Source organism: Homo sapiens, chromosome 11 (assembly GCF_000001405.40).
Source record: "Homo sapiens chromosome 11, GRCh38.p14 Primary Assembly".
NCBI classification, from domain to species: domain Eukaryota; kingdom Metazoa; phylum Chordata; class Mammalia; order Primates; family Hominidae; genus Homo; species Homo sapiens.
Window position 1 is genome coordinate 79,327,809 of NC_000011.10, and position 15,135 is coordinate 79,342,943.

General features: G+C 47.4%; 1 protein-coding gene across 5 annotated transcripts in view, besides 1 other annotated feature; it reads right to left on the reverse strand.

Annotated features, from left to right (window-relative positions):
* TENM4 (teneurin transmembrane protein 4) overlaps window positions 1–15,135 on the reverse strand; it is a 788,202-nt gene that overhangs the window by 674,980 nt on the left and 98,087 nt on the right. The window lies entirely within an intron of this gene.
* Window positions 8,896–9,398: an enhancer, noted in NCBI's record as "NANOG hESC enhancer chr11:79047749-79048251 (GRCh37/hg19 assembly coordinates)". NCBI's record gives its function as "activates a minimal SCP1, AML or CMV promoter by ChIP-STARR-seq in naive H9 embryonic stem cells {active_cell/tissue: H9 hESC(naive)}" and the evidence as "EXISTENCE:reporter gene assay evidence [ECO:0000049][PMID:30033119]".

The following is a 15,135-nucleotide window of genomic DNA, read 5'->3' on the forward strand; positions in this document are numbered from 1 at the left end:
GGCAACTCCACCATTGTCTTTTAAATGCCAGTAAAATGGGACAGTGCCTGAGAACTAAAAATTTTCAAGCCCTGACCATGAACTATGAAAAGGAATGTTTCCAGGGCACAATTTAGGGAATAGATGCGTCAGTGCACTTAATGACAGCCCCACAACCTGATCAAGTCCCTTCTGCCACCTTAAGGGACCCAAGGGTACATAAGCATGGGGAGATTATTTGAAAAGCTTCCTTTGAAAGGCATCTCTTTCTTTTGTTTTCTGGAAGTCAAAACATTTCTCTTTCAGACCCATCCTAACATTTAGCCATCAGCTCTATTGAAGTTAAGAAAAAGGTGAAGGAAGAGAATGAACATTTAGGCTCAGTATTTTGCATAGACAATCACCTTCTCTTTCTATGGTCCTACTTGGATGTGATGGTTCTCATTCAACTAATGAGGATGCTATGGCTCAGAAAGATCAAGTGACTTACCCAGGAACCAAGAAGAAAGTGGCAGGTCTTAAACTCCAACCCATGTTTTTGGGTCTCTAACATTGTTCTTCTTCCTTCCCCAAGCTGGGAAGAGAGTGCTTTGTCTTTGTAACCCTCAGAAGCCTCAGAAAATCACAGCAGCTGGAAAGACAGAGTCTGTCTCTCAGGTATTGCAGACTGCCCAGCTGACTGCAAGAAAGCCCCTCTATCCTCATGCTAAGTGGCTTCTTGTTCCTGTGACAGCAAACCCCACAACTGTGACCCTGCAGCTGCCACAGGGTCCAGTTCTGTATGCCTGGTAAGAGGCGGTGGCGGTGGTGGTGGCGGTGTGGGGACCGAGGGAGGCGGGGACACAGGAAGAGTGTGGGAAGAAGCCTGTAAGCAACGATGTGGTGGACGAGGGGATCATCTTCTACAACGTGCCCGCTTCTGTTCTGAGTTGGAGAACTGAGGGAGAAATATAACATTTACTGAACACCCACTATGTACCATGCCTGATGTTAAGCATGCATATATATATGTAAGCACAGGTAGGTAACATAGCACCTCACAGTTTCTTCTTCTTCCCAGAAGAAGAAACTGAGGTTCCTAGGGGCTCAGGGACTTACCCAGCATTCCAGAGCTGATGTAGCCCAAGGCTGGGCTGACTCCAGAGATTCTTTGGAAATAACATAAAAGTTTCCCATAGGAAAAGCTACCGTCTCTACAAAACTGTCCTTCTAGCTGGCAGAGAACCATCCCAACTGACCTGTCCCAGTGAACCATGTGACTAGGCACTGACCTCTTAGACACCATTCAGAAGCAGCTAAGCTGTTCAAAAGCCATGGAGAATTCTGGGCAAGTGGCAGCCTTCACTAGATGAGCATTTTTGTTTTCTCCTCAATATATTTTTCCTTTTCCCTCATGGCATGTAGATTTCTGTTCCGTCGTCTCCAGATCTGGTGCTACCTCCACAGTTGGCACAAGGGTAGGAATAGAAGAAGTTCTTCAGAGCAGAGCTGGGTTCTTTAAGGATTCAAAGAGACTGAGGCTCAGCAGTGACGGGAGAGGCCTTTGCTGGGAACATCTTCTCTTGGAGACAGACTTTCATTCATTCATCAAATATTTGCTAGGCACCTCCAACATCCCAACCTCAGTTACTGGCAATATAGAGCTTTTGTTTTGGTGGAGAGATGGCAAATTAAGCAGCAAACATAAAAGACATGAGGAGCTATGATAGAAAGTGGCTTTGAGCAGGAGCAGAGGTAAGTAGACAGGAGGACTTGTCTATGCTGGGGGTGGTAGTCAAGGAAGACTTCTCTGAGAAGGTGGTACTTGGTCGAGGATCGAGATAACTAGAAGAAGCCAGCCATGCAAAGACCTGGGGCAGAGCAGTCCCAGCAGGAGAAGCACAAAGCCCCGAGGCAGGAAGGTGTCAGCTTTTTCCAGGAATACGAAGAAGGCCAGTGCATCAGAGGCTGGGTTAGCAGGGAAGGGAAGATGAGATCAGAAGTTGGCAGGGCAGGTAGAGTAGGCTGTGCAGGTCTCAGCAAGGAGTTTGGTTCTCATTCTGAGTGTTCTGGGAAGCCACGGGAAGGTTTTAAAGAAGGGAATGACAGCAGCTGATTTACATTTGTAAAATATCTCTCCAGCTGCCTGGTAAGGAATGGATCACAGAAGGGTGAGCGGCAAGGCTGAGCAGAACCTGCTGAGAAGAGGGGAAAGTGGCATTGACTAAAATGGTAGAAGTGGAAATAAAGAGCAGTGGAGAGAGATCCGGGCAATGGTGTGTTGTTAAGTGCTTAATGACTGGCTCTCTAGGGGAAAAGCCCTGTTTGCCTATTTCCATGGTATAAACACTCTTACTGTGGCAGACTTTAAGCTAGCAACATGGCATCACTGAAAGCAGAACTGGGAAGAATGGTATACAAGCAACTCTTGAAGCTGGTGTGAGCTGCCAATTCCAGCACACAACCAGGTTCAGGGGTAGACTTGATAAGCCTTGCTAATGGACTGGCCATGGGAGTGAGGAAAATGGAAGAATTGATGGGGACTCCTAGGACTGGGACTTGAGTGATGCGAAGCACAGAGAAGCCACTTCCTGAATCGCTGGCCTCTGCTCAGTCCCTGCCTTCTAGAATCCTGAAAGGCAGGGGGCTAGGGGGAAAAGCACACCCACTAGGCCCTGGGCTCTCTGAGAGTTGATCACAGGCCTTAATCCTCCCTCTTTCTCACCCAGCATTCAGCCTGGTGCACAGACAGAACTTAATAAAGGGCAAATGCAAGAACAAATGAGTGACCTCAGCTTCCTCATCTGTAAAACGGAATGGCCACATTAACACCCTCCAAGGGTAACTGTGAGAATCAAATGGGAAATAATATAACAGCCAGCAGAGTCGAGAGCTATGTGGTCCACAGGCATGACATCAGGATCCGCAAATTAACCCTGTGAAATTTTACTATCCCTCCTGGCAGATGAGGAAAGGAGGTTCGGAGCCATTAAGCAATGTGCCCAAACCCATCCAGCTAATGTGCAGCAGAGCTGGGATTCAAACAGCCCCAGTGTCAGATGACATTCTCAGCGCCTGGGGCCACCGCAGACAAGGCCAAGGGCTGGCCAGTTTCTGCTTTCTTACCAGGAGCAACAGAGACACGTGGGGTCATGAGGATATGTCGGCCATCCCTGCCTCACCAAGATCTGCAGATGAAACAACATGAATAAAGTGAAACTCAGGCAAGAGTTGGGAACCAGACGTTTCCCTCTCCTGGCCAGGAAGGAGGGAAAGAGAGGTCTTCCCTGGGGGCAGAAGAGGATTTGCTTGCCCTCTTTAGGATGAATGATTCAGAGTTAGAGAACTGTGTAGGGACGGAGGCATGGCTGCCTTGCTGAGAAAAGCCCTGGTTGTGCTCAGCATAATGGCGACTGTGTTCCCCTTGTGGAGACGGGCTGACCTGTCCCTGACTGATAAGTGGACTTTTTTTTTTTACCCCTTTGCACAGCCAGCATTTTTTCCCAGCCTGATATAGATGGAGGAGCCCAGGCCTTGGAGTAAGAGTCTTGAGTTTAGACTCCACTCCCACTGCTCACAGCTGTGTGATCCTCAGCTAATGGCTCATATAAGCAACCTGCACCTCTGTTGTTGCCTTATCTGTAAAACAAAGGCACAACAGAGTCCTTGTCTCAGTGGGTTGCAGGGAGGCCTGGGTGGTGCTCACAGGGTGCATTAAGAGGACAGCTGGGGCGCCAACCACAGTGACCATGCCTTTCCACTCTGTGGAGGGGCATGCCCATGCTCCCCAACATCTACCGGATACAGTGTCCCCAACATCTACTGGATACAGTGTAAGGAGACTGTGGGAGGAAAACAAAGAGCAGGAGGGAAACTCAACTCACTTCTAAGTGTTATACAAACGTAAGTGACACATTAGCTCCCTCTCACCCTGGGAAGGCTATAAATTGTCAAGCCTAATGGCCCTGGTAAATCACAGTGCTTCCTGCAACCCCGGGCAGGGGAGCCTCGCAGGGGCTGAGAGCTCAGCCTACCAGCCTCTCTATTCAGGTGGAGGCTCCAGACAGCATCCTTGCTTTGCCATGTAATGGCTCTAGTTCCAGCAGCCTCTGCTACTCATGCAGAAAGGACACTTGTTCTGAAATCAAAGTTGTCAAAGCCTGTCAGGTTTTGGTGCTCAGATGCACCGCAGCACAAATCTAATCAGCCAGAGGAGACAATGATTTGCATTACAAGAGGATGCTTTGCTTTAATAATAATAGATGCTGTTCACCGAGCATGTACTCAATGTCAGGCACAACTCTGATCCTCACACAACCTGTAAAGTAGTTTTGATTATTATCCCCATTTTATAGCAGAGAAAACTGAAACCAGAAAGGTGATGAAAGTTACCAGCTAGAAAGCAGCAGAGCTGGGACATGAGCCAAGGTAGCCCAATGCCAGAAGCCAAACCTTCAGCTATCACTCCAGGCTGCCATTTCAGTCCCGCAGTGCAGGAGTGGTTTATTTCCAGATTACAGGCTGGAATGTAAGGCTAAAATCCTAGAATTTAGCATGAAAGACTAAGGCCACAAACCAAATGGCTTCAGAGGCCAGAAGGCAGGTCTGTTCTCAGTCTCAGCTCCATGTGGCCAGGTGAAAATGAGGGCCCAGTCATCACATCTTTCATCCTTCTTTGTAATTAAGTTGAACAACTTGAACTGTCACATGAAATCTCTTTTAAAAAAAAAATAAGGCCAACCTTATGCCGGCCCACCGAAATCCATCTGGGGGCTAATTGTGGCCATGGGGTAGCAGTTTGCAAGCTCTGCTCTTTGCAACCTCACAGTTTATAAGCACTCTTCCCATCTCACCCATTGCTTCATTTTGTTTGGATATCCAATGTTGTTGTTCCCCCACTTCTCAGATAAATAAACTGAGACTAAGAGCTTAAGTAGACTATATATCTTTCCATGAATGATCATTACAAATTACTGAATATTAAGGACCTTGAATATACAGTCTGCACCTCTACGTTGTCCTGGCTAAGCAGCTCACAACTTCTGCTTGCTCACCTCCTCTGGTGCCAGGGATCTCACTCCTATGAGAGCAATGTGAATCATTTTTAAATTGTTCTAGTCTTTAGAAAGTCACCTAAACTTCAACCCGCCTGTCTCACTCTGAAACTCTGGAGGTATACCCAATTCCCCTTCTACATGACAGGATTTGTCAACCTTCAACAGTGAATATAGCAGGGGAACAAGGTAGAAATTTCACTGAACACCTCCAAGGCAGGAAGTTCAGTGTTCAGTCCTTACCATACTTTTTATCACTGAATCCCTAGAAGAGCATAACACAGCAGTCTTCCCTATCCCCATTTGCAAAGATGTTCGGGGAGACTGAGTACCATCCCCAAAGTCAAAGTTAATATATGATAAGGAGAACATTCAAAACAAGGTCTGTCAGATTTCATGGCCTGCCCATTCATCCATCCATCCATCTATCCATCCATCCATCCAACCAACAAACATTCACTGAGAACCTACTATGTGCCAGACACTGCTCTGGACACTGAAATATAGATCCAACTTCCCCTCTACTTTGCCATCATCTTCTTTTTTAGGCAAAAATACCTGGGGTCTTTCATTTAATCTTTATGTGGTTGGTTTCCACACCATTCCTCTTTCCCAGCTTGTTTGAATGAACATGTGTCAACATCCCTATTACCCAGAATGGAAAGTGATCTTTGAGCAGAGCCCAGACAGGCATGTGGCTAGGAGTGACCCATCCCTAACTTAGGGCTCTCTCCTTTTACTGACAGAGCCTATGCACATAGTAGTTTCTGGCGGCCTTCCCACAAGCAACTTTTCAACCAAAACCATAACAATTGTTTTCACAGCTGCTGCTACTAAACCATGTCTGGTCTTCAGATATTGGGTTTGAAGGCCTAAGAAAAATGAAACTACACCTAATATCTATGAAGCCAATTGTACGTAGTAAAGATTTTATCAACATCTTACATTTTGTATTACTATTTGCATTTTCCAGCAATTAAAAAGTAAGACTCAAAGAGGTGAAGTGACTTGTCTACGATCATCTAGCCAGTAAGTCATGGAGCTGAGATGTGAGCTCAAGGCTGTCTGGCTCTAGAGCCTGTTTTTTCCCTAATGGGTTTCACACTTGTACCTGTTCAATTTCCTCTCCCTTGAAAAGGGCTATTGCTGTGGACTATTGTCTTTGATCTAATAAGCTGACAACACATTCTGCCTTTTCTAGCACACAGAATGATCGTCTAAGTCATCTGTAGTTCATGAGAACAGCAACACCGAGCATGGCAAACATCATTGACTACCTAACTGGGCTTGTGGGACAAAGTAAATGGAATGAGAGCCCCAACAAAAACAAGCAACAGAATCAAAGAGCAGGTCCCAGCTGCTTTCCAGGTAAAGAACTGCTGCTGAGCAGGTGAATGCCTTACAGTGTCGCATATAGTCTGGCAGGACTCAGCTGGACCTCAGAGTGGGCCCATCTGGAGATCCTCAATGATGTCTCTGAATGTGATCACCCTGGATTGAGGCTGAGTGCCCTGACCTAGGCCAGGTGCCAGGAGATGCCTGTACATCCACAGCAAGAGATACCAAAGAGCAACTTTCACCGCAGCCTTCAACCTAGAATTTCAGTCTGCAGGCTCCCCTCCCTGACCCACCATTTCTCTATTCCCTGAGCACTTTCTAACACAGGGTCCTGCAAAAACCTTTCCATGGCTGCCCAGCACTGTCAGGGTAAAATCCCATTCTCACTTCATGCTGCTAGAGGCTCCTCACAGCTGACAGGGGCATCCCTTGCCTGTCTCCAACCATCCTCAGGAAAAAACCCTATCTGTAGCTTAGCATTTTGCAAGATAGGTTCAAAGAAATCCTACTCCTAAAAGATAGTCTAAGTGTCCTGAGACATCAGTAAGTCTAGGAAATGCTGCCAACAATCTTATGATCTTGAACAATCACAATGAACGTTAGCATGTTGCATATGACTGAGAAATCCTGTCATAAAGAGATCTGTTTCATTTTAAGCCTGAATTTCTTATTCTATAACAGAACTCCTAATCTGAATAACACCTAAGGGAAAGAGGTTTGGATTAGTCAGTGATGTCACCAACTTCCCATGATTTCTTTCTTGCCTTTGGGGTCCTGCATCATACCGTGCCCTCCAACAAATGTGTTATTCTTCTTTCGCCACCTTCAAAACTTATATTCATTCAAAGCCTAGCTCAGCTTACAACTCCTCTGAAAAATATTCCTGAAAACTCCAGGCTTGATTTTGTTCTTGCCTTGATAACAACACTTATCACAGGGTTTGTTACAATCCTATTTCCTTTTCGAGTGGGAGCTCCCGGAGGACAGGGATTGGGCCTGATTGTTTTCTAGAAGTACAAGTGTATGGCATAGTTCCAGGTTGATGTGGTTCAAGCTGGTTCTGCTACAGAACCTGACAGGTCTCCCGCCACCATGACTGGGGAAAGCCCCCTTCCCTTGGCAAGGCAACATGATCTCAAGGCAATAACTGCCATGCTCAAAGAGAGCCAATAGGTCACTTCAGGGAGATTCAAAATAGATGCCATCCTGCTACGTCACTTGGCATTGCTAGGAAACAGCTAGTTTGCTATAAGGCAGGTTGATTAGCATTGCGGAGAAGACATAAACTAAGAAATGGCTGTATCTTCTCAAGCTGCCCAAACCATCCATTGGTACATTTGTATCAATTTTTTTGCATCAATTTCCTACTCAGCTTAGGGGGAAAGGCAAAGTTTGAAGTCAGGATTGAAGACTGCAGATCCTTCTCAGAAGACACCAGAGTACCTCTGATGTATGGGAGTGACTCTATAAGCACTGAGACCAGAAAGGGACAGGATTAATTCATGAGGTCTGTTCCACCTCAGTCTTTCACATAAGGCCTGTGTGCATCTTGGCTCAGGAGAAGCCTAGAGGGGACATGGTCTGGGAAAATGTTTTGCACAAAGAGGAGAGACTGCCAACTCCCCCGACTGAGTTATAGGAGCCCGCAGCTTGCAGTGACTAATTCTGCCTGAAAGATAAGGAGAGGTTGCCTAGGGGTCTCAAAGGGTAACTGGGAATCACCAGACTAGTATGGGATGAGCTCTTACAGACAGCAGACCGCTCCCTCCCTTTCAAGTGGGCCATCTGGGACCACTTCCTCTAAGCAGCTCTCTTTGCTGATTCCCTGTCTAAGCTCCCTGAGCAGTGTGCTAGATGCTTTCATGGAGGTTATCACTGTTTATAGATGAGGAAGCTAAAGCTCAGGGGACTTGAATCCAGGCCTGACTAACACATGTGCCATGAAGTTAGCTAGATCTGAACTAAATGGGGAAAAAAAATGTAATTTTTAATCTTTGAATATTTTCCCCCCTCCAAGATGGAAGAGTGTCTTGAGGGGTGGGAAGGAGGTATGGTTTAGTCCATAGAGCCCAAATCATGTAGTCAGGGCATCCGATTCCACATTTGCTCCACCACTAACTAGCTGCATTGCTTTGAGCAAATCCCTGTCCTCCTCCAGGCCTCTAGCTTCTGATCGGTTAAATGGGAGTAACAAGAGCCATCTCGCATACTTACTTCCCTAGGTATTAGATGACAGAGGAAAAAGAGTATTAAATGATAGAGGTATTAGATGAGAGAGGAAAAAGGGTCTGTTATAAAAGGTATAACAGACTATGCAATAGCCAGCACATAGTAGGTGTTCAGAAAGAATCGGCTGGTTATGTGCTTATAAGCTATTACCACAATGCAATAAGGAATCTAGAGAGCCAGGATTGGGCTCCATTTGCTTTCTATCACTTTGGGCAAATTACTTAATCTCTCTAAGCCTCATTACTTCTATCTGTAAAATGGGAATTACAATGCCACTTTGAAAATATTGCTATGAACATGCAATAATTAAGGTATGTAAAGACCCAGGCCCAAAAGGATGTAACATATTTGAGTTTCTCTCTACCCCCCTGCCCTTTTTCTAGAACCATTAGAAGGCAGAGGCATCCTGCTAGCTGTCTGTCACTCCTGCTGGTCAGTGGCCCAGGAGGCCCCCAGTTGCTGGGATTGGGCAGTGTTCACATCGACATTTACTGAATTGTGCCCTGCAGGATGAGACAAACTGTAATTTCCAAGGCTGAGACCCAGCCCCACTCAGGGGCACAGCATGGAACCACTTTGAGAAATCCACATTCAAGGCACAGTCTCCCCAGGCCCCAGGGAAATGCAATAGCCGAGGGGACAAGGAGGTTACCAAGCTAACTGTTCCTGATTAAAGCAACTGGCCTAAAGCCAGCAAAGCTAGCCTTTGAAAAGTTTAAGTTTTGTCAGCAACTATTGCATCTTGCATCCACGTAGCAACTTACAATTTACCAAAGCCTTCTGTAAACAGCAATCACTCAATAAATCCTTTCAATATACAAGGAATCGGCCTGCCAGAGGCTTTTTAGAAAACCCCACATTACATTGGTCAGGGCAGACTGGGAGGAGCAGATGTTTGATGGCAGCTGCATAACAACATTTTCTTGTAAGAGAAACTGTTCCATCCACAGCCCAGCCATGTGTATACCATGTGATCGTGCCTCACCGTGATCACAGCTGATTAGGTCAGAAGGGGGTACTTGTCCCTTGGAAGGTCCAACCTTTGGCTGTCCAGTGACCTGTGATTTGTCTCAATTAGGTTCTTCCTTTGAGGATTTGAAATTGGAATTGAGGAGCAGAGACTGGGGTAGTTACCAGAGGGGAGAATAGCCAGAAAGGGTTGCTAAGAGTTGTAGGTTATTGAGAAGGCCAGGGTAGGCAGGACGGACCTTCGCAAGGTAAAGCTCTGTGGACCATAACCTATGAAAAAGCAAAGGAAATGGGGAAACTGGGGAAACAGAGCCACATGGACTCCCTGGTTTCTAGCAACTTCCATTTTTTTGTTTTGGTGGGGCCATGCTACATTGGAGTTCTCACCTTTGGACTCTCAAAAAGATCTCTGAGACCTTATCACAGCCATCCTTGCCAGAGTGGGTTTCTGCCCCATGCCATCGAAGGCCTTGCCAAGGACAGGGGCAAAGTGGGTATCGCTATCCACACTCTGCAGACAAGGAACCTGCAGCTGGGGTGGTACCTAGACTTGCTGGCATCTCACAGCCAGATCAGGGTCCTTCCTCCATGGCCCCTCACTGCTTTTGAGACTGTGAGAAGTTGTATGACTATCCACCAAGTCTCAGAGGAAGAGAGGGTCCTGCGCAAGCACGTATTTGGGATGACTGCTTCTCAACTGTCTCTTCCCCTAGAATGTGAGTGCTGTGAAGACAGGATCATGCCAGCTTGGTGACTGCTGCACCCCCACAGGCTAGAGCAGGGCTTGCCCCAGAACAGATGCTTAAATATGTTTGTCAAATGAATGATTGAATCAATTAAGCAGTCCCAGCATGTTCCAACCACAATAAAAACCAGGGAGGTTTGCATGTCCTCACCTATAGACAACAAGAAGAGCTGCTGCATCTGAGATTCCAGATTCTAGTGGGGCAAATTTTCATTTCCTTCTCCCTTGGGAATTGTTTCTGAAAAGCAGCTGCTGTCAGCTTGGGTTCAACTCCCGTTCAGCACTGGGAAGTAAGCAGACCATCTAATCCTTGAAACGGGATGGCCCCTGACTGCCACCCAAACAGCAGATTTGGAATTACCTCCTCAGCACCTCCAAGTGACCTCTGCCCTTGCCCAAATTGTCCAAGGGACCTGAGGTCATCCCTTCCATCACTGGGCAGCCAGAGCAGGTGGAAAGTTGACTTTACACTAATTGTAACTTCTTTCACCTTAGCCCTGGCTCTAGGCCTGAGGGTCTCACAGAAGCTCCCCAAACTATCCTAAATAGAGTATGGAATGAAAAATGTTCTGGAATGCAGCCTAGGGAGACAAGAATTCCAAATTTTCTGGGTGACCTTGAGCCAGTCGCTTGATATTCCTGAGGCCAAAAGGCCTGAAGTCTTTGGCTGGACCTAGGTTCAAAGTCCCAGCTGAACCTTGGACAAGTCACACTCACGGAGCCTCAGTTTCCTCAACTGTGGAGGAGAATGCTGCCATCCAGCTGAGAGTAATGTCTGCTCAGGGCATCCAAATGGGCTTTGACTCAAGACCAACATGGAAGTTGAGTCTACTCTGGAGATTGACTCAGTTCACTTTGGGGCTAGAAACCCAAAGGCCGAGCCTTGAAGCGGGAGATGATGGAGCTGTGTTGGCAACGCCTGCTCAAACCTCAAACACAACACAGTCACAAAGCTGGGGCTCTGAGTGCCAGGAAGATCCAGCAGAAAGTGGTTTTCCCTGTACTCCAACTCCAGCATCAGGAGAGTGGCAGGCCAAGCAGGGGATTGTTGGACGGGGCTGTCCTTTGGTGTCCCATTCCGTGATCCAGTGAGAAAAGAACAACAGAATCAATAGGCAGATGACACAAGTGCAGATGACAGAACACCAGACAAATCACTTGAATTCTGTGAGCATAGGTCCTCATCTATAGGGCCGGCTAGGATGCCTGCTCTATCTCCATCAAAGTGTTGTCGTGGAGATCAAACTTGGTAATAGGTCAGGAAAGTCCTGGTAAACTGAAAAGTGCTGTGTCTTTGAAAAGTATCACACTGCACAGTTTGGTTGCAGTTCTGCATCCTTCTTTATTTTATGAACCAGAGCCAAGGTCAAGGGCGCCTGTGCAGAGCTGGCAGGCCCAGCACTTGCTCCCTGCTCCTGTGCATATCCCTCTCTCCCTACTATTACTATGGAATCCTCATCATCCCAGTGAGATGTGCCTTATTATGCCCATTTTACAGATGAAGAAGCTGAGGCCCAGAGAGACCGAGTAACCTGCTGGGTCCCATGGTTAAGTGATAGCTATAATCCTAGGGCAAGAGTCACAGGGAGAGAAGGAAGAGACATGAAGGAGCAAGAGAGGGAAAAAAAATGGGAAAAATGCAATATCAAAAGAGAAAGATGGAGGAGAAAAGGGAGGAGAGGGAAAGAGAGGAGGAGGGATGAAGGAGAAAGAGTAAAGAATGAGAATAAATCAGCCCTGTTGGGGGCACAGAGGGGACAGTGTGGGAAGCTGCCAAGCTGCTCCCCGTGGTTGGGTGCAGGATGTGGGGTAGGCAGACCAGGCATGGGTGGGGGCCACAGGCAGCCACGTGAGGAAGTGACAGGTCAGCAGAGCCATTCAGCTGAGCTACAAAAGCCTTCTGCCAGGGTGGTGAAAAAAATATTAAACGAGACTTCCTCGAGCTTTAGAAATTGCTGAAATACCGAGGCCGCAATGGAAGATAAAGTGTCCTACAAAGGGAGCTTCGAATGGAATCAATTTCCCTGGACCAACTTTCATGTCCTATTACAAGAAATTGAAAAATTATTTCAGTGGAAATGTCACTTTGCTGGTCTACCTCTCCTGAAGATATTGAGAAGGAAAATGGCTTCCAATAAAGGGGCATTGGGTCTTGTCTTCCATTACTGGAGTTGATCCTCCAGGTGCTGTGTCTTGGGAGCCCAGCCCAGGGAGGTGGGGTCAGGGGGAGTCTGGAGGGCCCTTCTGTCAGAGCTTTGGTGCTGGCAGAGAAGGCAAAAAAATGGAGACAAATGTGACAGCCCCAGGGACCACCAGCTCTTGATGGCCAGACATACACACTACAAGCTGGAAAATGATACTCTTGAGGCTGGCTGGACTGGGCTAGGGTGGAATGTCAAGATTTCCTGCACGGGACATCATACCACAGAGAGGACTCTGGCAGCTGCTGCCATAGCACACGTTTGCTTCTAGAGTCACAGCATAAAAGGCCTTCCCGCCCATCATTCCTTCTCTCATATCCACTTTTTCCCATTGCCATGAACTCCTTACCTTTCTCTATCCATGGCAGGCTTTCCTTCTATGCCTTGGTGCTCTTGCTTTGTTTGAAAGACCCATTCCTGCACATCCATCTGGCAAACTCCTACTCATTCTTCAAGACCCATCTGAAATGTGCCTCCTTAGGAAATCGTCCCTGCACTCCCTCCCCTGGTGTGGTAGGCTGAAAAATGAGCCTCCCCACCAACAAAAAAAAATACTTATGTCCTAATCCCCAGAGTCTATAAGTATGTTACCTTACATGGTAAAAGGGACTGTGCAGAGGTGATTGAGTATCTTGAGATGGGGAGGTTATCCAGGTGGGCCCAGTGTAATTACAAGGGTTCTTATAAGAGGACAGTGAGAGACTCGGAGTTAGTGTAGGATCTGTGAAGCAGGAGGTTGGAGTGAGGCTGGGGAGAGACCACACACCACAGAACGCAGGCACCTCTAGAAGTTGACAGAAGTGAGAAAATGGATTCTCCCTTTGGAGCCTCCAGAAGGAACCAGCCCTGCCAACGCCTTTACCCCAGCGAGACTGAGGTTGAATTTCCGATCTCAGGAACTATAAGAGAATAAACCTGTGTAGTTAGGAGGCACTCAGTTTGTGGGAATGTGTCATAGCAGCGATGGGAAACTGAGATCTGTCAGCAGGGTTCCCTCTGCCTCCTCTGGGATCCCTTGCAACTCCATGCCCATGCTGCAGCTCCTCATGACCAGCACTTATCCAGTGCCCTCCACGTGCCATGCCTATCCTGAGTGCCACACAGGCATTATCACACTCAATCTTACTGCAATGCAGCTGGGCAGGTACTAGATCCCCAGTTTACAGAGGAGGAAAGTGAAGAGCACAGAAGTGAAGCAACTTGACCCAAGAAAGTCATACAGGTCATGAACATGACAGAGCTAGAACTTGAACTCAGCACACACTGTGCAGTGATTATGTATGTAAGCGTTGGTCTCTTCCACCAGAAAGTAGGGTAAAAGGGTAGATGTTGGGCCTCCAACAACTGTAGAATGAGCAGACCTCTGAATTGGGGCCTCTCTGTGCTCTCTGAGAGGTTCAGTGAATTCTTGTGTGAAGGATGTAAAAAATGGAATGTCTGCCCTTGGAAACTAGAACTTTTCATCAAACTAGATTATTTGTAACAATGACCTAAAGCACATTATTTCACATTCTCTATGACATTTCCTTATGGGTGGTGTGGTAAAGTAGGAGTCCAGGACTTATAGTCCAGACTATAATAACTCTGGGTGAGTTCCAGCAAATATACCCTAAGCCTCAATTTCTTCATCTGTAAAATGGATATAAGAATCCTACTGCCAGAAGAAGCCCTGGTGAGGACAAAGGAGAATGTGCACACAGAAGCATTGGGTGCAATGTGAATGCTGCTCTTGTTCTCTCTGGGCCATGAACAAAGCTGTGCAGCACACTGGGTGGGTGGTCTTTCCCCACAATCACAGAGGACACTGAGACCCCACAGGCAGCTATTGCACCCCACTAGAAAGTATAAAGCTGCCTGGCCCAAGTACCAGGGGGGCTGTCCAAGCTCTGTGCTGCCAGAATGCAGATATGGAGAGGTCATTTTGGGCTGACATGAGGAGAGTTGACCAGAGAAGCCAGCCTGTGATTGTCAAAGGTAGGTGTGACTGCATGGACCGCGATGAGATGAGGAGAGGGCTTCGCAATAGCGCACATGGGTGAGCAGAGGCACGGAAGAGATAAAGTCCCATGGGGAAGGCAGGCTCTGAAAATGTGGAACATGGACTTTGTGGCTAAGACCACAGAGCCAGTGGGCAGGAGGAGGCGAAGAGGGTGGGAGGGATGGTGGCTGGGAGTACAGCGGGCCACACAGAAATAAGGAACTGCGTGGCCTCCCTCTTTCAGTCTCTTGTGTGTCTAGGAGCTGAACATCCAAGGGGCTCCAAACCCATCATCTAGGCAGGGGTTCTCAGTCCTGGCTGCACAGAGAATCACTTGGGGGAGTTCTACAAAATCCCAATGCCCAGGCTGCACTCCAAACCACTTAACTCAAAGTCATCAGGAGTGGGACCCAGGCATGAGTATTTTTTGAAGCTTCCTAGGTGATTCCAAAGTCCAGGTGAGGCTGAGAAATTCTGCTCTAAGCCTCAGCTCCAGGGCCAGGAAGCCAGCCTGGCGTCATCTGGATTCCAGTTGGGCTCATTACCTTCAGCAGTTCTCAGTGCAGTTCCCTTCCCCCTGCCTGCGTCCCTGGCGCCCTGCAGCTTTGCATGAATGTGATACTTCACTTCCTGTCCTTGTCCAAAACTGGGCCTCTGGGGGGT